At 35.2% G+C, this 23,790-nt stretch overlaps 1 protein-coding gene and 1 long non-coding RNA gene across 13 annotated transcripts in view; both read left to right on the plus strand.

Annotated features, from left to right (window-relative positions):
* The window catches only part of EPHA6 (EPH receptor A6), a 946,939-nt gene that overhangs the window by 199,140 nt on the left and 724,009 nt on the right, over positions 1–23,790 (plus strand). The gene's annotated exons all lie outside the window — the stretch shown is intronic.
* On the plus strand, positions 9,618–22,518 carry LOC107986103 (uncharacterized). Its single transcript, XR_001740810.2, has 2 exons — positions 9,618–19,435; positions 22,109–22,518. It is a non-coding gene; the product is annotated as an uncharacterized LOC107986103 (long non-coding RNA).

The raw sequence follows: 23,790 nt of genomic DNA on the forward strand, positions 1-23,790 counted from the left end.
AAACTTTTTATGAAGATATTTCTAAAATAAGTAATATATCTTATCTGCTTAAGATATAAACAAGAACCTTTGTTTTCAACCAAAATAATAGTTATATTCAAATTATGAAGCATGTTTTTGCATAGGAGTTTTATGTTTTTGTTTTTGGCATGGGTCTTCAGTAATGCCTCCTGCAAACTTATCATTATTGTATATTGTCATTATCTTATTTTTGTACTTCTCTTTCTCTCTGCCCTCTCCACCACCCAATCTGTCTTATTTTTGCCCTTTAAAGAACTGAATTTATGCTGAATGGTGAATATTTTATCATTATATTTATTTATATTTGAACTTTCTTATACTGTGTACTTGATTAAACTTTCCTGTAAAATGTGACTATATTTTCCCATTTTATACCTCTTGTCTTTTAAGATAGAGATAAACAGATAGAGAAAGAGATAAAAAGAGCGATAGATAGGTCAATAGATATCCAACTCATTCATTCTAATTCATCAAAAGTAAGGATTTGGAAAAATTATTTACCATTAAATATTAAAATGATTTTTCAGAATTTTACTTCCTTCCTTCCTTTCCGTCCTTTCTCCTGCCTTCCCTCCTTCCCTCCCTTCCTCCCTACCTCTCTCCCTCCCTCCCTTCCTTCATTTCTCCCTTTTTCTTTCCTCTCTCCCTTCACCTCCTTCCTTCTTTCCCTCCCACCTTCCTTCTTCCTTTCCTTTCCTTTCCTTCTTTCCTTCCTTTCTGTTATGGCATAAATATGCAAAACTTATTTGGAGGAAATGGAGAAAATTATTGCTTAATACATCTCTTCTTCCATTAAAGTTCTTTCTGTATATGTATACGTGGCATTCTTAGGAAAGGACTGCGATGTTGAAACATAAATTAGCAATGCTTGCAGAATTTAATGATCTGCCTGTGAATACAAAATATATCATATAATAATTCTGTACCTACTAATGAAACATTGAAGAGTCCAGCATTGCACGTGGAATGTTTCTTTAAATGAATATTACTTCAAAGGGATGATGATCAAAGTATTTAAGAATTCCTAAAGGATCAGAAATTCTTTTTTGAGATAATTTTCCTTAACATAACAATGCATGTTTATTTGCTGTCTGATGGCCATGGAGTAGTGGTATGTTATGAAAAAATGTCTTAAATTTGCTGTGACAGCCTCTTTTCCCAGAAGATTAGCATATCAAGGTTTGTCTTCTATATATATTTGTAAGCTAGATAAAAGTGTTAATTCTAATTGAAATGGTTCCTTTAGTAGATTTAATGAACCCTCCACCAACAAGTAAATTAAACTGAAAATTATTGACACAAGTTTTATCATTGGAGAAGAAAATAATTACCAAAATCATTGTCTCCTCTTGATCAAATTTAACTCCCTTGTCATAGAAAATTGTAAATTGAAATTAGGAGTAAAGGCCTGTGTGAAAAAAGAAGTAACATTATACAATAAAGTATTGTAGAAGAAAATCTTACTAGTTGCTGAAACCTTATACTGTAAGAAAAAGCAAGGGAAATAGATGTTCAATTGGTAAAATCAGTATAAAGTAACAACTTAAAATGATTTTGTCCAGCTCTGTCATTAAGTAGGGCCTATAAGCAGTAGTGGAACTTTACCCCAGAAACATAGGTGTGTGTTTTCTTTTCCAGAAAGATCCAGGAGTGTTTGGGTTATAGCCAGTTTCATTTCTTAATACAGGAAAATTATGAGGGTCTGTCTGGACTGTCTTTTCAATGTCAAACTAAATATGCTTTTAGAATAAAAGAATAAGTGTTGTAAGGGGAAAAACCCATTAAAACTATTCCCATCTCCAATTTTAATGTTAAAAAGAATATATATACATGATTACTTAAAATAAATTATGTTTGGGAAAGGCTCTGAGTTCACAGTGATAATCAAAAGGGACACATTAAAATACAAATATAACAGAGTGGAAGGGGATCAGGAGAGGAGTGAACACTGCTGGTGAGAACAGCACTGGAGAGCGTGATTCCACATCCAGAAGACGCAGCTCCCCACATATTTGACAAGGCTCCCAGACTCTGAGAGCGTTATCAAGTTCATTGGGCTCACAGAAACAGATAATTTATTTAAAAATTAGAAACAAAAACTTCACTAATAGCTGACGATCTCTGGATAGTGACTTTTTTTAATTATGAGAAAACATTTAAGGAAAATCAGTGTTTTTACATCCATTTCAGAATTGCTTTGGCTATTTGTTTATTGTCTTTCCTTGTTTACTTGCACTATTTGGCTAACCTGCAGTTTGTTCATTCTTCCATTCTTCATTCTTCCTGAAAAAAAAAAAAAAATCAACAGCTTCATTAATCTTAAAATATAAAAAGAAAATCCCAAAGTGGTGAATGAAACATTGAAGATATGTGTCTTACCAAAGCAGCTTGCTGTAGGTATGGGCTGCATTTTTTGTTTGATACTTTGTATATTCAGATAGTTATTTATATAGAAGTTAAATTCCACAAGTTTCTGGTAATGACTTTAAACAATTAATGTATCTTCCAACAATAAAATCAACACTTCTGAATTTGAATGAAAAAAATCTGAATTTTTGGCAATGATTCAAAGCTTTTTCTCTGAATTTCAAAAGTTTTGACAGAATCTCCACTTTAAATTCCCTCCCACTCTGTTAAATTTAACTATAATAATGTGAACATTCCAATTTCAGAAAAAAAGTAAATTAAATATAAAAAGTTCTAATAATAAATAGTTATTTACATTATAAATTATGTATTTACTTTAAAATGCATACAATTCAGTTAAAATCAAGAGACCAAATGAGACTTATTTATAATAGCTCTATTAAGTAATAATGACATAAAATAAACTGTATTTTAAAGTGTGCAGTTTGGTAAGTTTTGACGTATGTCTAGAGCCGTGAACCCATCATCACAACTAAGACAATAAGCATATCTTTCATTCCCAAATTTTTCCTTACGCACCTATGTAATTCCTCTCTCCTTTCCCTTAGTACAGCCAATAACTATGGCTCTATACACTTGTCTCTTTATGTTGGTTAACGTGTTCTAGAATTATCACAGGCATCTGCAGTATCCACTCTTTTGCCTGCTCTTTAATTCAATATGATTATTTTGCCATTTGTTCATGTAACTGGATGTATCAGTACTCAGTATTAAAAGTTCATTACTTTTAATGCTGAGTAGTAGAGCATTGTTTGGATATACCACTAGTTGTTTATCCATTCATTTGCTGATGGACATTTTGGTAGTATCTTGTTTGTGGCTGTTACAAACAAATTTGTTAAGAACATTTATAGAGGGACAGAGCAAGATGGCCAAATAGAAGCCTCCAATCATCCCACTACCACAAGGACACCAATTTAACAACTATCTACCCAAAATAAGCACCTTCATAAGAACCAAAAATCAGGTGAGCATTCACAGTACCTAGACTTAATTTCATATTACTGAAAGAGGCACTGGAAGAGGGTAGGATATAGTCCTGACTTACTGATGGCACACCTCTTCCATTCCCTGGAAGTGGCTGTGTGGCTCAGAGTGAGAATCTGTGTGTCTGGGAGAGGGGCAGTGCAGCAACTGTGAGGCATTGCATTGAACTCAGTAGTCCTTTGTAATAGCAGAAAGCAAAACCAGGCTGAACACAGCTGATGCCAACCCTCAGAAGGAGTATTTAAATCAGCCTCAGCTAGAAGGGAATTGTCCATCCCGGCAGTCAAAAAATTGAGTTCTGGCAAGTCTCACCCGCACATGCTAAAGTGCTTGGGGGCCCCAAATAAACGGGAAAGGCAGTCTAGGCCCCAATGACTGAAACTTCTAGGTGAATCTAGGGCTGAACTGGACTCACAGCCAGTGGACTTATGGGGCAAGTGACCTACACAGACACCATTTAGGGTAGTGAAGGAAATGCTCATGCTGCTAGATGTATTGGAGCTCCATTGTACGTTATTTGTTTCTTTTCTCTTGCTGCTTTTAGGATCCTTTATCCTTGATCTTTGGGGGTTCAATTGTTAAATGCCTTTAGGTGGTTGTCTTTGGGTTAAATCTGCTTGGTGTTCTATAACTTTATTGTATTTGGATATGGACATCTTTTTCTAGGTTGGGGATGTTCTTTGTTGTTATCCCTTTGAATAAACTTTCTATGCCTATCTTTTTCTCTACCTCTTCTTTAAGGCAAGTAACTCTTAGATTTATTCTTCTGAGGCTATTTTCTAGATCCTGTAGGCATGCTTTACTGTTTCTTATTCTTTTTTTTTTTGTCTCCTCTATGTATTTTCACATAGCCTACCTTCAACCTCACTAATCCTTCTTCTGCTTGATCAAACCTGCTATTGAAAGACTCTGATACATTCTTCATTTGTCCATCACATTTTTCAGCTCCAGAATTTCTGCTTGATTCTTTTAAATTACTTCAATCTACTTGTTAAATTTACCTGATAGAATTCTGAATTTCTTCTCTTTTTCTGTCTCCCATTTATTTTGGGGTCTTTATTTGCATGCATTTTTACCGCTTTATGTGTAGGGACCAGCCCCACAGGGTCGGTGGGTCTCTCCCCATGTGCGGAGACGAGAGAGTGTAGAAATAAAGACACAAGACAAAGAGATAAAAGGAAAGACAGCTGGGCCCGGGAGACCACTACCACCAAGTCGCAGAGACCAGTAGTGGCCCCAAATGCCAGGCTGCACTGATATTTATTGGATACAAGACAAAGGGGCAGGATAAGGAGAGTGAGCCATCTCCAATGATAGGTAAGGCCACGTGGGTCACGTGTCCACTGGCCATAGGGCCCTTCCCTGCCTGGCAGCTGAGGCAGAGAGGGAGAGGAGACAAAGAGAGAAACAACTTACACCATTATTAGAGACTTTTAGTACTTTCACTAATTTGCTACTGCTATCTAGAAGACAGAGCCAGGTGTACAGGATGGAACATGAAGGCGGACTAGGAGCATGACCACTGAAGCACAGCATCACAGGGAGACGGTTAGGCCTCCGGATAACCGCAAGCGAGCTTGACTAATGTCAGGCCCTCCACAAGAGGTGAAGGAGTAGAATCTTCTCTAAACTCCCCTGGGGAAAGGGAGACTCCCTTTCCCGGTCTGCTAAGTAGCGGGTGTTTTTCCTTGACACGCTACCCTTAGACCACGGTCCGCCTGGCAACGGGCGTCTTCCCAGACGCTGGCGTTACCGCTAGAGCAAGGAGCCCTCTGGTAGCCCTGTCTGGGCATAACAGAAGGCTCACACTGTCTTCTGGTCACTCCTCACTATGTCCCCTCAGCTCCTATCTCTGTATGGCCTGGTTTTTCCTAGGTTATGATTATAGAGGGAGGATTATTATAGTATTGGAGTAAAGAGTAATTGTTACAAACTAATGATTAATGATATTCATATATAATCATATCTAAGATCTATATCTGATATAACTATTCTTATTTTATATTTTATTATACTGGAACAGCTCGTGTCCTCGGTCCCTTGCCTTGGCACCTGGGTGGCTTGCCGCCCACATTTATCTTCTTTTATAGTTTATTAATGCTCTGATAATTTTTCTTAATATTGATACAAGACTTTTCTAATCTTCTGGGTGCTTCTTTCTGTGGCCTTGGGTAATTTTCTCACACATATGTACTAATCATCACTTGGTCAAGTATTTGAGGAGGCACTCCACAAATGCAGTTTTTTTTCTTTTGCCATCACTCTCCTCTCTAGTAATCTATCTCCTGTGAACTCTTTCAGTTCACGGCTGGAGCTGTGACTCCAGCTATGTTTTCTCAACACAAAAAGACTGCCTGTCTCTACCTCATTTCCTTCTCACTGTGTTGTAGCCTGGACACTTTCTTTATGCATAAGTTGGAGCAATGTTGGGGCTGACTTCATTTTATTCCTTTGTCTTGGGGATTATGTGTTTTCCTCCTTTTTCTTAGTTGTTTCACCAGTAAGTACATATTTATTCTCTGTTATATCTCTGTGGCCAGAAGTCCTGATAGAACAGATTTAATTTATCAGATTTTTAATAAACTCGAGAACATGTATATACACACAATATATACGTGTATATTATGTATATATAAAACATATACATAATTATTATATTTTTGCTTTTCTTTGTAAGTTTGTGTCTGTGATGTTTACTGTGTGTAGTATTTGTATATAGGTGTCGTCATTTGAATCATTGGTCCCAGTTTTTCATTTCTCCTTGTATTCATGCTTTTTCGCATATAACTTTGAAGTTTTTTCCACTAAAGCACAAGTGCTTTTCCAGATTCCTTGACTTTGGCCTTAGCAATAAGGTTTGTTTGGGCCAATGGAATATGAGTCTAAGTTGTAGTATGCCAGTTCTGAGCCTATGCCTCAAGTGGCCTAGCTTCTTTTTGCTTGCTCTATTATACCTCTGTCAATACCAGGAGCTTTCCTAGTGTTTTCTGGTGCAGACTGAGCCCCAACTGCAATGAAGATTGCAACCAGCCAAGATCCACAGACTGAAGCAGTTTCCTGCCATGTGCAGGCTAGTTCAGATGACCTCAGTGAATCCCCAGAATAAATGATAGAGATGAAAAATATAGATATATGCGGATTCACTGACAATAATAAGATGAATAATGCATGCAGAAATTTCACAGATCAGGTCATTATAGCGAAATAATAGGACAACATGTTATGTAACTCTGGACAAGTAAGAAAAATAATATTTCTAGGGCAGTCCAGTTTACAAAATACTGAAATGGACCTGCAGAGTACCTAAGTCTGTTGGAGCATAGATGAAGAGTCAAGAAAATGCAGGATGGAGAGACAGAGCTATAGCAATGCTAACAAGAACAGAACACTAAGAATTGTAGTTTTGTGGTCAGCAATAGGGGTCATGATGTGATAAATGCTATTATCCAGACTGGAGCACAGTCTCTGTGAGTTACCCAAAAAAGGTTTCACAGGAAGAGATTCCCACTGGTCCAGTACAGTAACTTCTCCTAGCCATTTGGATAAAAATTTACTTGCTAAAGGGGATCTCAAAATATAGACACACCTTTAGGTTTTTTTAAATTGTTTTTATATAATTTGCATATATTCCCCTTAAGAGTCTGTTCTTAACCCATTTATTATGCCTAGTGATCCGTTATTGGAACGCTAAGCTTGTGGGAGTTATTTATATCCTACTGCTCAAAGTCATCACCAAGGTTTGATTTTTTTTTTAAAAAGTCAACCTCTGGCATAAATGGGTTAAATCGTTGTTGATAAAGTGTTTTCTTCATTTTAATGAATTACAACTTATAAAAAACCTTCAGCATAGATATCTAAATATTGTGGTCCTTATATTATTCTTAGAATGAAAAGACTTGCAGCCAGAGTGGCCAAACAGGTAACACTACTTTCTCATAATTCATCAGCAAGTTTAAAATGTACTGCAAATGTGTTCCTTCCTCTTGATCACTATTAATTTCATAGGTTAAACTTGGACTGTATAGCCTAACAGTTCCACATTTGTGCCCCAACTATTCATTTTCTAAGAAGCAGCTGGTCGTTTCTTTTATCTTTCTTTTGCTTCGTTTTATCTTTAAAATAATATCCAAACTCAGGGTCATGGCTCAGGATGACCTCTTCTCCTTCCAGGATCTAGCCGTTGCCTGCCCCTACACCTTCATCTCCAACATTGGCCTTACTTCCTGTGACTACTCTGTTATTCCCATCACTCATTGTTTAGAACTCTCGAAATTTCTTCCTTTAGGGCCTTTGCATTTGTTGCTTCCTCTGTCTTAAGTATCTCCTCTTCTGTATGAGTCTTCTAGGGCTGCCCTAGCAGAATGCCACAAATTTATGTTTTCACATTTCTGGAGGTGGAAAGTCAAAGATCACGGTTATGGCAAGGTTAGTTTCTGGTGGGGATGCTCTTCCTTACTTGCAGAAGCCCACATTCTTGCTGTGTCATCACATGGTTTTTCCTCTGTGCTTGTGCACTTGTCTCTTCTTCTTATCAGGACAACAATCCTATTGGTTTCAGGCCTGAGCCTTATAACCCTATTTAATGTTAATAACCTTTGTAAAAGCCCTATCTCATATCACATTGGGGGTTAGAGTTTCAACCTATGCATTTTGGGGACACAATGTAGTCTATATCACCTTGCCTTATCCTTTGCCACTTAGATCATCACATGGTCGATGCCTTTTCATTACTCAGGTGTTATTTCTAATATCATTTCCTTGGAGAGTTCTCCCTCAACTATTGCTTAATCACAGTGTATTGTAACTCTACAGGACATGTCTGACCCTGTTCACTCATCACTAAAATTACTATATACAACCAGAATTGTGCTTGACACATATAATGAAGCATTGAGAAAACATTTGTTGAATAAATGTTTTCTTCTAATACTGGTTTATGGGCATAACTATTTCTGAATGTGTCCTTTCTCAAAGGTAGACACCTGAGCTTTATGATCCATGGTGTTATCCTAAAAAACAGAACACAATATTATTATATTAAGTATACCACTGAATATAGCAATTGGTGTCTTGAGGAGTTACAACATGTCATTATTTAAATAGGTTATCATATTTTTTCCAGTAATCACCCCAGCTATATTAAAATGAAACTTCTCCCCTTTTTCTCTCTAGGTAGCATCTTCCTTGACTCTTTCTTAGACAGATGCTATAACTTTTCAGCTACTTGAGTTATTAGTTTATTTCATTATTTATTGATTTTAAAATGCCAATCTCAAATTATACTCAAAGGTTTTTCTACATTTCCCATCTGTGATGACAGCTCTTATAGCTTTAAGAGTACTAGGTTGTGGGTGGGCTTCAAGACATCTCTTTTCACTCCCACTTCTAGATGCCAGCTCCATCTGTGATATGACAAGAGCGGGTAAATATCTTCTTACTTGACTCAATCAGATTGCAGTCTTCTTTTCCTTGGTTGTTGCTTCTCAGGCTGACACTTACTCTAGATGTCCTCTGCATGGTTGGGCTCCTAATTCCTGTAATTCTGAATGGTCTCCATGTACTTTCTTTTAGAATCACCTAAGAGGTGTTCCACTTCTTGGGTCACTGAAAGAGGCTGGTCAAGATTCAAATCCACTTATTTAATCACTTTATTCTTGGTTAAAATCCAACAAAGACTGATCCTAGCATACCTTTTCTTTGTTTTCTGCCTGAATGAGTATTAGCAGGCCAGCTTGAGCACAGCAGCATTATTTACATCCATCATGCCCAAGAGTAGTTCATATCCTTGCTTCATCAAATAGGAGGACAAGTTAATTACCAGAATTCCTTATCTTAGCACCTCCATCTCTCTGTTGGTCATTGCTTTCATGCCGGGGCAGCAATAAAGTATCTGTGGATCCAATGCCTCACTAACTCTTTTTTGTTTCTGAGATGGAGTCTCATTCTGTTGCCCAGGCTGGAGTGCAGTGGCGCGATCTTGGCTCACTGAAAGCTCCACCTCCTGTTTTCAAGCAATTCTCCTGCCTCAACCTCCTGGGTAGCTGGGACTACAGGCACATGCCACCACACCTGGCTAATTTTTTTGTATTTTTAGTAGAGACAGGGTTTCACTGAGTTAGCCAGGATGGTCTCGATCTCCTGACCTCATGATCTGCCTGCCTTGGCCTCCCAAAGTGCTGGGATTACAGGCTTGAGCCACCGCTCTCGGCCCTTTGTTTTGTCTTTACATCTCTTTTTCAAATTTGAAATTATTTCTCATGAGAGATTGTCCCTAACCAGAATATTATTTCAATTTCAAGTACTTTATTCTTATTTATTTTTATCTTTATAATTTACCTTCTAAGATTTTTTTCATGTTCTTATTTTGCTACTATATATATTTACTTAGTTATATGTTAGATATAATATTAGCAAACAAGACTAATATCTATTATCAGGGAAAATAGGTTTTCAACTTTATAGTATATGACCTTTAGAAGTAAAATGTTAAATTTTTTTTTTTTTACTATTTTACAATGTTTCTTTTAAAACTATTTCCTATTTATATTCATTTAGATTTAAAATCCTCCAATAAGGAAATAACTTATTTTCTCTGCTGAAGAGTTGTAAAATTCAATTATGCATAAAGACAAACATCATCCTGAGTAAAGAATCATCCGTAAGATTAGCGGAATGAATCTGCTGCAACATTTACACTTCATACTCTGAAATTGATTTTTATGCATTTTAATGGAAGCAATATTTTGCATTTGAGTACATTACATAGGAAAATAAAATGTCAAGGCTTATTCCTCACAGAATTCACAATCTCCGTTTCTGTTTCTGTATTTTTTTCTCTTTTTACTTAGAGGAATTGTTATGAGATGATCTAGTGGTCAGTTCATTTCTCATTCTTTTAGAACAATAATTTGCACATTAAAGTCCTAATACAAATAAATATACCCTATGTTCCCATCTGTTATTCTTACTCTATTGAGACCTAGTATAAGAGTAGAGCAGTAAATGGAATACAGTCTTACTTCTCAACCATATCTTTTTTTCAAATGGCAAAATATGTAAATATTTCTCATATGTTTAAATTTTTACTTTTATTTGAAACCACTAATGCCCAAATAATGCATTGATCTCAGTCATGGGAAGAGGTGGTAAGATATGATTAATATGTCTTTATTGTAGCTTGCTGTGATTTCATGTAAAGAACATGCCATTTTATGACTCTTACTAGTGTAATGAATAAGTAAATTTTTAGCTTTAGAATTAATGCACATACCCTGACATTTTATATCTAATTGATCTGAAAGAAATTCTAAAGAGAGTTAAACACTTTAAGTTCCCAAACATGAAGAATTTGAATAAAGCATGAAAGGAACAGAGAGCTATTTGTTGTTTACTTTATTCTTTGAGAAGCTAAAACTCAGAATCTAAAGCACAGAAGAAAATGTCCCAATTTTCAAAATCAAGAAATCAAGAATCATGTTTACATGGTTTTTTTAACTCACACTTTCTATGAGCCAAGTGTTGTATTTAAAGATATTTCATTGAACATATTGGACACAGTTTCTTCCTGCAAAGAGTTAACATTTGCAAAGCCGTTCCCTTATTACTTCCTGGATATTTTTTCCTTCCTATTTTAGTGTTAGATTATTTTAAGTGACTCTTGATTCTTATTTTTTTACTTGAAAAATATGGAAAAACAAAACAAAAACTACCATTTAGTGACAAACTATCTGGTTTCCAAAAACCTGAAAAATTAAAATAGTTTTTGTATAATAATAAACCCATGTAAGAAGTTAGTTATGATTTAATGGAAATGCTGCCTCTGTATATGTAATGTAAAGAGGGGGCAATGTAATTTATTGATGAGGCATGCAGGCTCTGGATTTCAGATTGACTGAGTTCTAAGCTCAGTTTTGCCACTCACAGGGCAAGCTGTTCAAGCACTACAATATAGGAGAGAGAGCAATACCTATGTCATGAGATTTTTATGAGGATTAAATGAGATAATGTACATAGGAGATTTAGTAAAGCACCTCTCACTTCGTAAGCACTCACCATTATTATGCAACATTTCAACACTTTTTTAATAAAAAGTAATTTAAAACTATTAGGGAAGAGTGAGACAGGAAGAGAAAGGGAGAGAGAGAGAGAATGAGTAAATAGGATTAATGAAAGAGTTGAGTTTAAAAAGTCTCTGATATTAGTACTTTGGGTAGAAAAATTTTATACTAGTCTTTTGCCAGATGCATAGTTACTAAAAATTCTGTAGGTTGTCTGTTCATTCTGTTAACAGTTTCTTTTGTTATGCAGAAGCTCTTTTCATTAATTATATCCTAGTTTTTGCTTTTGTTGCAATTGCTTTCAGTGTCTTCATGAAATCTTTGCCCGTGCCTATGTCCTCAGTGGTATTTATGGTTTTACATTTAAGTCTTTTTTATTTTTTAAAAACAGTCTCACTCTTTCGCCAGGCTAGTGTGCAGTGGCGCGATCTCCGCTCACTGCAACCTCTGCCTCCTGGGTTCAAGCAATTCTTCTGCCTCAGCCTCCCGAGTAGCTGGGACTGCAGGTGCACACCACCACACCCAGCTAATCTTTGTATTTTTAGTAGAGATGGGGTTTCACTCTGTTGACCAGGATGGTCTCGATCTCCCTGACGTCATGATCTGCCCTCCTCAGCCTCCCAAAGTGCTGGGATTTCAGGTCTGAGCCACCACACCTGGCCTACATTTAAGTCTTTATCCATCTTGAGTTAATTTTTGTATGTGGTGTAAGGTGGGGGTCCAGTTTCAATCTTCCGCCTATGGCTAGCCAGTTCTCCCAGCACCATTTATTGAATAGGAAATGCTTGTCTTGTTGCTTTTCTTGTTTTTATCAGGTTTGTTGAAGTTCAGATAGTTTTAAGTGTGTGGTTTTATTTATGGGTTCTCTATTCTGTCCCACTGGTCTATGTGTCTGATTTTTTTTTTTTTTTTTTTTTTACCAGTACCATGCTGTTTTGGTTACTGGAGCACTGTAGTATAGTTTGAAGTAGGGTAGTGTGATGCCTCCAGCTTTGTTCTTTTTGCTTCGGATTGCCATGGCCAATCGGGCTCTTTTTGGTTCCAGATGAATTTTAGAATCCTTTTTTCTAGTTCTGTGAAGAATGTTAATGATAGTTTAATGGGAATAGCATTGAATCTATAAATTGCTTTGGGCAATATGGCCGTTTTACCAGTTGATTCTTCCTATCCATGAGCATGGAATGTTTGTGTCATCTCTTATTTCTTTGAGCAGTGGTTTGTAGTTCTCCTTGCAGAGATCTTTCACCTTTTGACTTAGCCATATTCCTAAGTATTTTCGTCTTTTTTTGTGTGGTAGTTGTGAGTGGCAAATTGTCTGTGACTTGGCTGTAAGTCTAATATCCTGCATTTGTAAAGAACTTAAAGAAATTTACAAGAAGACAACCCCATAAAAAATTAGGCAAAGGACATGAATAGACACTTTTCAAAAGAAGACATACATGTGGCCAATAGAAAGAAAGCTCAACATCACCAGTCATTAGAGAAATGCAAATCAAAAACTACAAGGAGATACCACCTATCACCAGTCAGAATGGCTACTATTAAGAAGTAAAAAATAATAGATGCTAGCGAGGTTGTGGAGAAAAAAGAAATCATATTTATACACTGCTAGTGAGAGTGTAAATTAGTTCATCCATTGTGGAAGACACTGTGGTGATTCTTCAAAGACCTAAAGACAAAAATACCATTCAACCCAGTAATCTCATTACTGGGTATATACTCAAAGGAATATAAATCATTCTATTATAAAGTCACATGAATGTGTATGTTCATTACAGCACTGTTCACAATAGCAAAGACATGGAATCAATCTAAATGCCCATCAGTGATAGACTGGATAAAGAAAACGTGGTACATGTACACCATGGAATACAACGTAGCCATAAAAAGGAATGCAATTATGTTCTTTGCAAGGATTTGGATGGAGCTGGAGGCCATTATCCTTAGCAAACTAACACAGGAACAGAAAACTAAATACCGCATGTTCTCACTTATAAGTGGGAGCTAAATTATGAGAACACATGGGCACATACAGGGGAACAACACACACTGGGGCCTCTCAGAGGGTGGAGGGTTAGAGGAGGGAGAGGATCAGGAATCACAAGTAATGAGTACTAGGCTTAATACCTCGGTGATGAAATAATCTGTACAACAAACCCCTATGACACAAGTTTACCTATGTAATAAAACTGTACCTGTAACCCTAAAATTAAAATGTTAAAAAAAGAGTAGCCACTAGAAGATAAGCCACCTCCAAGGAAAAAAACACCTCCAAGGGAAAAAAAGGAAACAGATGTACTTTTTACAATAGAATGTGTTGATTCTTCTTGAAGAATACTAGTGTCAGTAGGATTTTAGCTATTTTTAGTCTGCTAAGAATTGGCATGAATAGACATTAACAGGTTAATGAAGTATCTGAAAATAAGTGAATCCAGTTGCTGTTTAATGTCCCAAACTCAAACTTTTAATGCTTTATAACAGTCTCAGTTCCTTTTATAACTGCGAGGAAATAGTTTCTTTCCCAGGGGCATACTGCCTTTTAAAAAAATGTCTATTTTTATTAACATCCCTTTGTGGCCGTAACTACTATTAGGAAGTTGGAGTAAATTATCTTACTGATGACCTATTTCTGTTTCTAATAGTTCTTAATCAAGAATGATATGCAATTGGGACACAAATTTTCTTCCTTCAGACTTACTCCAAATTCCCGTATCCTGGTCCCCAAGGTGGAATTGCGTGTCTAGAATTCCCTTTAAAACTGTCAATAGCCGAATTTTCTTTTATTACTCTCTGGCACTTTAAACAACTTTGGCATCATTTAAGAATTTTGATGTTTTATTTTGAAGTTCCAAAAGTGGGAAATAAAAGCATGCGGAGGGTAGGATTAACAATACTTGACTGGACCATCTAGAAGTGACTGAAGAAACTGGTTTTGTTTATATAGAGAGGAGAAACCCAAAGACTGATTTAGTAACTAGCTATATAGAGGGCAGAACTAAATTACTGCTTTAATTTCCCTGGTGAATTTGTAGAATTTAACCACTTTAAATAACAGTATCCCCATTTGCAAGATGAAGATAATATTTCTGCTTTATGACTGTTTGGGGAGGATTAAATGAGACAATATAGATTAAATATTGAATATAGTAGCTGTAATAATAGGAGCTCAATAAAAGTGTCTTCCTTTCTTTTGTCTTCTTTAATAGGTGGTATGATCACTATGGATATCAAAATGGGAAGTTACAGTTGCGATTACTTAAAACATTCAGAAACATTATCTGCTATGGTGGTTAGCTGTGGAATATCCTTTCTCTTTCTCTTTCCAAGGAAAAAAATTGCAAAATTGATTTTTAAGGAACAAGTACCATGATCTTCACAATCAAATGTTATCTCTAATAGAGTTTAAAAAGTAATGGTGATGATTTTTCAGTTTATTAAAGCTGGAAAATCATTATTCATGTGCTGTTTATAGATGTTATTTAATTTTAATATCCTAATAAGATGCTGTAATTAAAAATGGTATAAGTGAAATATGATTTCTCATTAATACAACTTATTAATAAAATATTTATATTCTTATGGATCATAGTAAAATATGAACATTATGTCATTTGATAATTTTTGTTTAATTCTTGATCTGTTAAATGTTTTTAAGTGTAAGCAAACCTTTTTGCTTGAAGATGAACATTCACCTCAGAGTTAATATATGTCTTCCTTTTTCTTTTAATCATTGGATATAATAGCTTCAAACATTTATAAACAAGAAGGAAATGAAATATTGGAATTTCATAAAATAAAAACAAAAGTTAGAACATCGACTTAAGTATATCAAAATTGGAATTAAAGTTAACAGTTCTTGCAAAATAACAATAAAATTCTAATATGCATGGAATAGCCTACTCCACATTTTGACTAAATGTAGAAACAAAAGTTAGTAAATATTATTTTCTTTGTTAAAATATTGAGTTAGCTAGATATAAACAGAGTAATTTGGTAAAAATTATTTTCTAAATTCCAGTTTTATTACAGCTTCTAGTAAGATCAAGTTATAAAAGTAAAAATTATTATATAATTACATATAAATTACATAAAAATTTTAAAAGTTTAAATCCCCTGTGATGTTTTTAATAAATTTATTTTAATAAAGACCATTTTTAAATTTATTTGAAGATAAATGAGGAAAAGGCCTAAAATAGTTTATGTAAGAGAAATACTAATTCTCAATAAGAATTATGCTGAAAGAGAAAAGCTAGAAAAAAATACATACTGAAGCACAAAATAATACATAATGAATGATACATAAATATTTAGAAAATGTAAACTATTCTGACAGAAAGCAGACCAGTAGTTAACTGGAGCAGAGTATGTAGGGACAAATGAATTGCAAAGAGGAAAAGAAATTAATGGGGGTGATAGTAATATTTTGTAACTCTGTTGTGGTGGTTTCATCAAAATTTATTGAATTGTGTATTCATCAAATTGGCTGCATTTTGCAGCAATCATATCTCATCAAAGTTTATTTAAAGAACAAGAACAATAGTTTCACTTCTTTAGTTTTGAAGTAAATAAAGAAAATATGAAGGCACTATTTTTATTAACCAATGGATTAAAAAATAAAATGAAACCCAAAAAATTAACAATACTGGTATCATTGAAATCTATGAAGATGGTGGCAGTATCAGTTGGTCAGACTTTTGGATAAGCAATTTGGTACTGCGTCTCCAGGTTCATCAAAAATATACTTACCCTTTGACATACCAGTTTTGCTCTTATGAGATTGTCAATAGAATGATCCAGAAGGATAAAGTGACATGCAAAAAGACTTTCTTTTCTGAGTAGGTTATTCTAGTAGTTTTGAATCTTAGTCCAGATATTCAGCTGTGCAAAAAATATCTTTCCTTTCTCCAAATCAGTTGAATCTATTTTTTACGTATTTGCTGAGAAGGCAGAAATTTAACTTGAGTTATTACTACTGACTTCACCAAATTGTGCCAAGTTGCTGAAGCCTAACTTAATACCTATGAATCAGGGACACTCATCAAATCATTTGCCATTAGTTCACACTGGACCCCATTCCAGCCTGTAGCATTCAGAGATCTGCTATGTTCCTGCCACTCTCTGAGAAAGGCCATCTTTGGAGGACATGAGGTACACTCTACCTAGAAGCTAGCCTATTTGGTGTTCCAGGTAGCAATTCCTTTGATGTCTTGCCGTCATCCAGAGTTAGAGCCATAGAGCACGGGTTATGTCTCCCCTACTTCTGTAACCCCTTTAGTCTCTAACTTTTTTCTCCTCCTTTTCCTTAGCCACTAAAGTTCTCCTAACCTCTCTTCCCCTTCCAGAATATCTAGCATAATCTTTTTAGTGAGCTTGGCTACTTCTTAGAACTTGGGTGTAGAGATGTGTGTGGTGCATAATTATTACCTCATAAATTACTCCACTAAATTTGTTTTAATGAGGAGTTTGTAAATGCAAGGAATTAATTAGAAAAGTATCTAGTGGGTGAAATATTATTGCTAAAATTGAAGAATAGAAGCAGAATACAAATTTATATCTACTATGAATATGATGTCTTAAGAATCATGTATACTATTTGTAATGATGAGATAAATTATGAGAGTTTTTCTATCGCCATAAACTATGAAGTTGTGTGGGTGTGTGTGTAATTTCTTAGGAAAAATGCATGTGTGTTATTTAACATACTAATGTTTGAGTTGGCCAATTTAAATTCAAAGAGTTAAAGAATACCGATTGATCATAATTATGAGGTCATCCTTATTATATAAGTTATTCAGGGGAGGAGTGACTGTGAAAATTTGAAGAAAAGTTAAGAATTTTTTAGAAGTGTACCAGTACCGGTACCAAAACAGAGATATAGGCCAATGGAATAGAACAGAGCCCTGAGAAATAATGCTGCATATCTACAACTATCTGATCTTTGACAAACTTGACAAAAACAAGCAATGGGGAAAGGATTCCCTATTTAATAAATGGTGCTGGGAAAACTGGCTAGCCATAGGTAGAAAGCTGAAACTGGATCCATTCCTTACACCGTATACAAAAATTAATTCAAGATGGATTAAAGACTTAAATGTTAGACGTAAAACCATAAAAACCCTAGAAGAAAACCTAGGCAATACCATTCAGGACATAGGCATGGGCAAGGACTTCATGTCTAAAACACCAAAAGCAATGGCAACAAAAGCCAAAATTGACAAATGGGATCTAATTAAACTAAAGAGCTTCTACACAGCAAAAGAAACCACCATCAGAGTGAACAGGCAAGTTACAGAATGGGAGAAAATTTTTGCAACCTACTCATCTGACAAAGGGCTAATACCCAGAATCTACAATGAACTCAAACAAGTTTACAAGAAAAAAACAAACAACCCCATCAAAAAGTGGGCAAAGGACATGAACAGACACTTCTCAAAAGAAGACATATATGCAGCCAAAAAATGCATGAAAAATTGCTCATCATCACTGGCCATCAGAGAAATGCAAATCAAAACCACAATGAGATACCATCTCACACCATTTAGAATGGCGATCATTAAAAAGTCAGGAAACAACAGGTGCTGGAGAGGATGTGGAGAAATAGGAACACTTTTACACTGTTGGTGGGACTGTAAACTAGTTCAACCATTGTGGAAGTCAGTGTGGCGATTCATCAGGAATCTAGAACTAGAAATACCATTTGACCCAGCCATCCCGTTACTGGGTATATACCCAAAGGATTATAAATTATGCTGCTATAAAGACACATGCACACGTATGTTTATTGTGGCACTATTCACAATAGCAAAGACTTGGAACCAAGCCAAATGTCCAACAATGATAGACTGGATTAAGAAAATGTGGCACATATACACCATGGAATACTATGCAGCCATAAAAAAGGATGAGTTCATGTCCTTTGTAGGAACATGGATGAAGCTGGAAACCATCATTCTCAGAAAACTATCGCAAGGACAAAAAACCAAACACCGCGTGTTCTCACTCATAGGTGGGAATTGAACAATGAGAACAACTTGGACACAGGAAGGGGAACATCACACACCAGGGACTGTTGTGGGGTGGGAGAAGAGGGGAGGGAAAGCATTAGGAGATATACCTAATGCTAAATGACGAGTTAATGGGTGCAGCACACCAACATGGCACATGTGTACCTATGTAACAAACCTGCACGTTGTGCACATGTACCCTAAAACTTAAAGTATAATAATAAAATAAAAAGAATAAAAAAAAGGATGAGACCCATTATTTTGCTTGCGAGCTAGATCCAAATATGAGTCACTATCTTAACTGTGGCCAGATCCACACATGAAGGTCACAATTCCTATTTTGTGTATTTACTTGTTAGACTCAGGACCTTAAGAGTGGGCTTTTGAAATACGAAGTGATAAAAGTATTTACTTTCACCTGTGTGTGTAATCGAGAATTCTAATCTGAACTTCTTGCTGATTCTTGTCATGAAACTCTCTGTACCACCCAAGGAGTTTACACACTATGAGGTACTGTTGTAAAGTTCTGTGAGCTTGGTACAAATATTCAACCCCAGACCTTACCTATTGCCCTAAGCCTAGCGATAAAAGGCAAAATATTTTTTATCGGCTGAATCGCAATATAAGATGGACAATCATGCCGGTGAACTGAAGTAAAGTATATGTCATAGTCTTGTTTGTGAGCAAAAACTAGGCAGGGAGTTAACACCACTTAAATATTGTGCCAAAATCATGTCACAATGCACTCTTCAGGTAGGGTATGGGAATCAGAGTCACATTAACTGAGTGCTGGACTAGGCAATATGAAACCTTCCCAAATGTGGAAAAAAAGAAAGAAAAAAAAAAGGAAGTATACCAGTACCACAACCGAGGAATACAGGGAATCCTGAGCAAGCGGTATTATGAGGAGGCTGCTGGAGACTCGGTACTCTTGGAAAGGTTGTTATGAGATGGCTTAGGGTATAACAATTTAAGCTTTACTATGTGTACCACTTTATTGAAATTGCATTTTTAATCACAATGATTGTAGTTAAAGCATTCTAAGTGTGTACTGATAGTAATCAAATTATTCTAAGTTGTAAAAAACTTGTAGAAAATAATGTAGACAAAATTTAACCTAGGAAAATTTCCAAACTAATTTTAGTGGTATAGGTGAGAAGCTGGTCAGTCGGTCAGCACGAGTAAAGAATGAAGTAACACTCTGAATTTATCCACATATATCATGGATCTTTAAGAAAATTCACATAGAGATATTCAAAACAAATTATTTAAAGATCACTAGTGAGCAAACAAATGAAAACATTCTGGTTTTACTCATAAAAAGTGGTAGCTGTATGATAGTGTTTGGCTGATAAGAGTATTAGAATGCTGAACATCCTCTATAGAAAATTGCACATATTCTTAACCTAGTAACAATAAAAGATGATGAGGAATGTCAACTCAGATTTAAAAACGAATCCTTACTTCCAAAAGTGAGAGACAAATAATAAATTAATGTTCATTCTATGGAAATGAAATTGAGATTCAAGTAGACCATGTATTTGATAAGAGCCCCAAATTAAAGCTGTATAGTTCAAGACTATAAAATGCTGTTATGTCTAATCACCCCCCAAATTATAATACCTCTTTTGTCAAGTAATGAAAACTTGATATAGAAAAGGATACATCAGGCCGTTGTGGTTTTAGAAATCAAACAATATTTTCTGAGAATTGTTCTGAGCTAAAACAATAACAAAACCTCAGACTTTGGATTTGAAAGGGTTTACCTTAGTAGTCTGTTTAATTTATTTTTTAAACTTATTGCTGACCACAATCTGCCCATCTGTGTCACATTATAAAATATATTCTAAGTCTACAGTCTAATTGGGAATATAACTTTAGGAACATGGGAACTTTAGGGAAAAAGAAACTTTCTTGACAAGGTTGTATTTAAGCATTCTTTACTCAACTGACATAATCAAATTATTCTGATAAAAATGAAAATATAGTAATTTTTGGATTATAGTTTCATGTTTCTATGAAAAACAGTTTGATCTTAGTGATGAATTTTGTACTTTCTGACCTCCAATGTGATGTTAATGTGAACAGATCTGGGCAAACTAAATTCTGCTTCTGTTCCTTGGGGAGAGTTTTACAATCTTTGCAATTATCAGTGCCATGGCTGTACATGATCACAATCTCAATATTTTCAGTGTTATAGACTTAATATATAATTCTTTTACTGTCCATGAAAACACCATTGTGAGCAGTTTGTTCATCTAATGAATCTCTTTCAATTTCTCTATTGACAAATGTGTTCTTTTGAAGGTTGTATCCCTTGCTTAAAGTCACCTCCAGCTATAAATTATTTTTTAAAACATCAAGAACTCAGTTGTGTCTGAACAGATGACTTTTTGGATTTTCCTTTACCTGATTGCTTAACATCACCCAGGTTTAGGTATTATTTTTAGCATATTGCCTATACCAGTTGTTTTCAAATTAGCATAAGCAGTCTACTGAAATGGTTATGTGCACACACACACATACACATACAGAGTACTGTTTCTATGTTCCAGATTGAATTGTTCATGGAACTACGATATAGAAATCACGGGAGAGGTCCTCTTGTACTTCCTTTTGAACTTTTCTGAGACCTCAGAGCAATTAAGGTTCCTCACACAACAGTTTGAAAACTTCCTTTATCATTATACTGTTTGGTAAAAATTCTTTTGAAAGAAATAAAATGGTAACCATATTTTTACATACAATAGTTCCAGAATATTCTGCCAAACTTCTAAGAATAATTTAAAAGTAGATTTAAATCCTATTCCTTCTTTTTAACACCCTGACTTTGTTTTGCTCTCAATTAAGATTTTTTAGAGTTTCTCCAAAACTCCTTTTAGAAATAAGCGAAATCCTATTAGAAGCATGTGAAATATTTATATGGGGTCATTATTATAGGTCAAAACCACCCAGTTTTCCTGAAAAGAAGTACACAAGCACTCCAGCAATTTCCACTGTTATTTTATCTAACTCCTCTCAGCTCCCTTTTCCCCTGTCTTCTTTTTTCTTATGCTATATTAAGTACCTTACCTTTTCTGCAAGTCTCTCACCAGGATGCTTTGCAGATAAAATTTCCCTTTTGGGTAAAATGGGACAGATGAGAAGTAGGTTTTGGTGGTACATAACTTTAATAGACACTAGGACTTTTTACATAGTGCCCTCTTATCATTCTTCTTTTTTTCAATATCTCCTCAACTATATTTTGAAACAGTGATATGCTCCTTCTAGTATTGTAAGTATTGCTTGTTTTTTGATTCTTTGCTATTACTTCCTTAATGATAAAATTCTTCCCTACTTACAGTTCTATTTTTGAGATTTTGGCCTTCAACACTATAGGATTTTTGTAGCGTACTCCATATTTGAAAATAATTTTCTTTATATTTTCAACTTCTTACATGTAAAGACTGATGGTTCTTCATTTATTGTCGGAGATCTCTGCTTCTTGAGTTACCTTGACTTGATAATATATCTTGATATGTTAGTCATTTATAATGTATCTGAATGTTTCTTTGCTATGGTAAAATATATGATAGTGCTTTCATTTAATATTTATTGTATTTTATTAATTAGGATGTTGTGGACGGAATGTATTTCCCCAAAACCTCATATGTGGAAATCGGATTCTCAGTGTGATGATATTTGGAGGTGGGGCCTTTAAGAGGTAATTAGGTCATGAAGAAATGAACTCTCATGAATGGGATTAGTGCCCTCATAAAAGAGGCTCCAGAATGCTTCCTTGTCCCATCTGCCTTGTGAGGATACAAGAAGGTAGCCATTTATGAACAAGGAAGCAGGCCCTCACCAAATACCGAATATGCCAGTGCCTCGATCTTGTGCTTCTCAGCCTCCCGAACTGTGAAATACACATTTTTGTTGTTTATAAGCCACCCAGCCTATGATATTTTTATTATAGCTAAAACAGACTACCATAAAGGGTGATTTGAAAAATAAAGTGTGAATTATGTCTTTGATTCTTTAAATCAGTTTCTGTCTTGTTCTATTTTTGGTCAATTCCTATTTTATAGAAATAGTATTAGGCCAAAGAGAGGACTAAATATGAAAATGCTTTCAAAGATTTCAAAGAAAGGCATATAATAAACACCAAATAGTATAATAACTATTAGTATCCCCATTATTAATGTTGTTATTTTCTTCATGATGAGCAGAGCAAAATCATTATTAAAAACTGAGCTGTGAGTGTTTTTTGCATTTTAATCTTTCTGGCAATTTTCTTACCTAGCTTAAAAAGATGACCCTGACAGCTAAGTCAATTGTTTTTTTCTCCCAACTTGGACGTTCTTCTATTTGAGTCCCTTTGTATACACAAAGAAGGATTCAGTTCAAAGGAGAAGAGTCCTAGTTTTCAAGTGACATTCTTGAGCTCTATTCTAGGCAGTACCCTTTGCTGGAGTTTTCCCTTGAACTAATCACTTAACATTTTACATTTACTTTCATCACCATAAAATATGGTTAATAATCTTCCTAGATGATTGTGACAATCATTAAATGAAAAGGTATATGTAATGGGCACTTTAGATCCTCTTCCTGTATTTCAGTACTGAGCAATTGTACCCATCCCTCAGTGCTGATTGTTGGCTGCTGATAGCTCACAGCTGCTCCCTTCTCTAAAAGTTGCCATTGACTGGGAGCTACTAGGTCAGTTATGTGACTCGCCGACCCCTGGAGAATTCCATGGCCATTGATGGACTAATATGAGAGGTTCAAAAGGTCAGACCCCTTCCTTTTTAAGTATACTAATGAGGCAAAATGTTTGTTTACTAAAAAAATTAAAACTACCGTTGACTTAAAAGGTGTATTTGAACAAACTAGATGGTAAATTTCTTATCCAAATTTATTAAAGCACTTACTATGATTCATATCTATGCTATTTGCTAAGAAGAAAATGATAATACAAACATGGTCTTTGCCTTTAAGGACCTTATATTTCAACGTGGGAAGTATGCACATACACACAAATACAAACATACTTATATACAAATCACATTAACTCTTGGAAATTTCTATGACTTATAAAACAGAGGATAACTAGAGGTCTAAACTTAGGGTAGTCAAGAAAGACTTAACTTTAAGTAGATGGCGGTTTGACTGAAACCTGAACAAACATGAAAGGGCTACTAATAAAGTACAACAGCAGAGAGAATATCATCATATGCAGTCTTTTAGGCAGGATATGTTTGACATTTGCAAGAGAATACTGATGTGTCAGCAGTATAGTGAGTAAAGGTGATTGA

This window comes from Homo sapiens, chromosome 3, assembly GCF_000001405.40.
Source record: "Homo sapiens chromosome 3, GRCh38.p14 Primary Assembly".
NCBI classification, from domain to species: domain Eukaryota; kingdom Metazoa; phylum Chordata; class Mammalia; order Primates; family Hominidae; genus Homo; species Homo sapiens.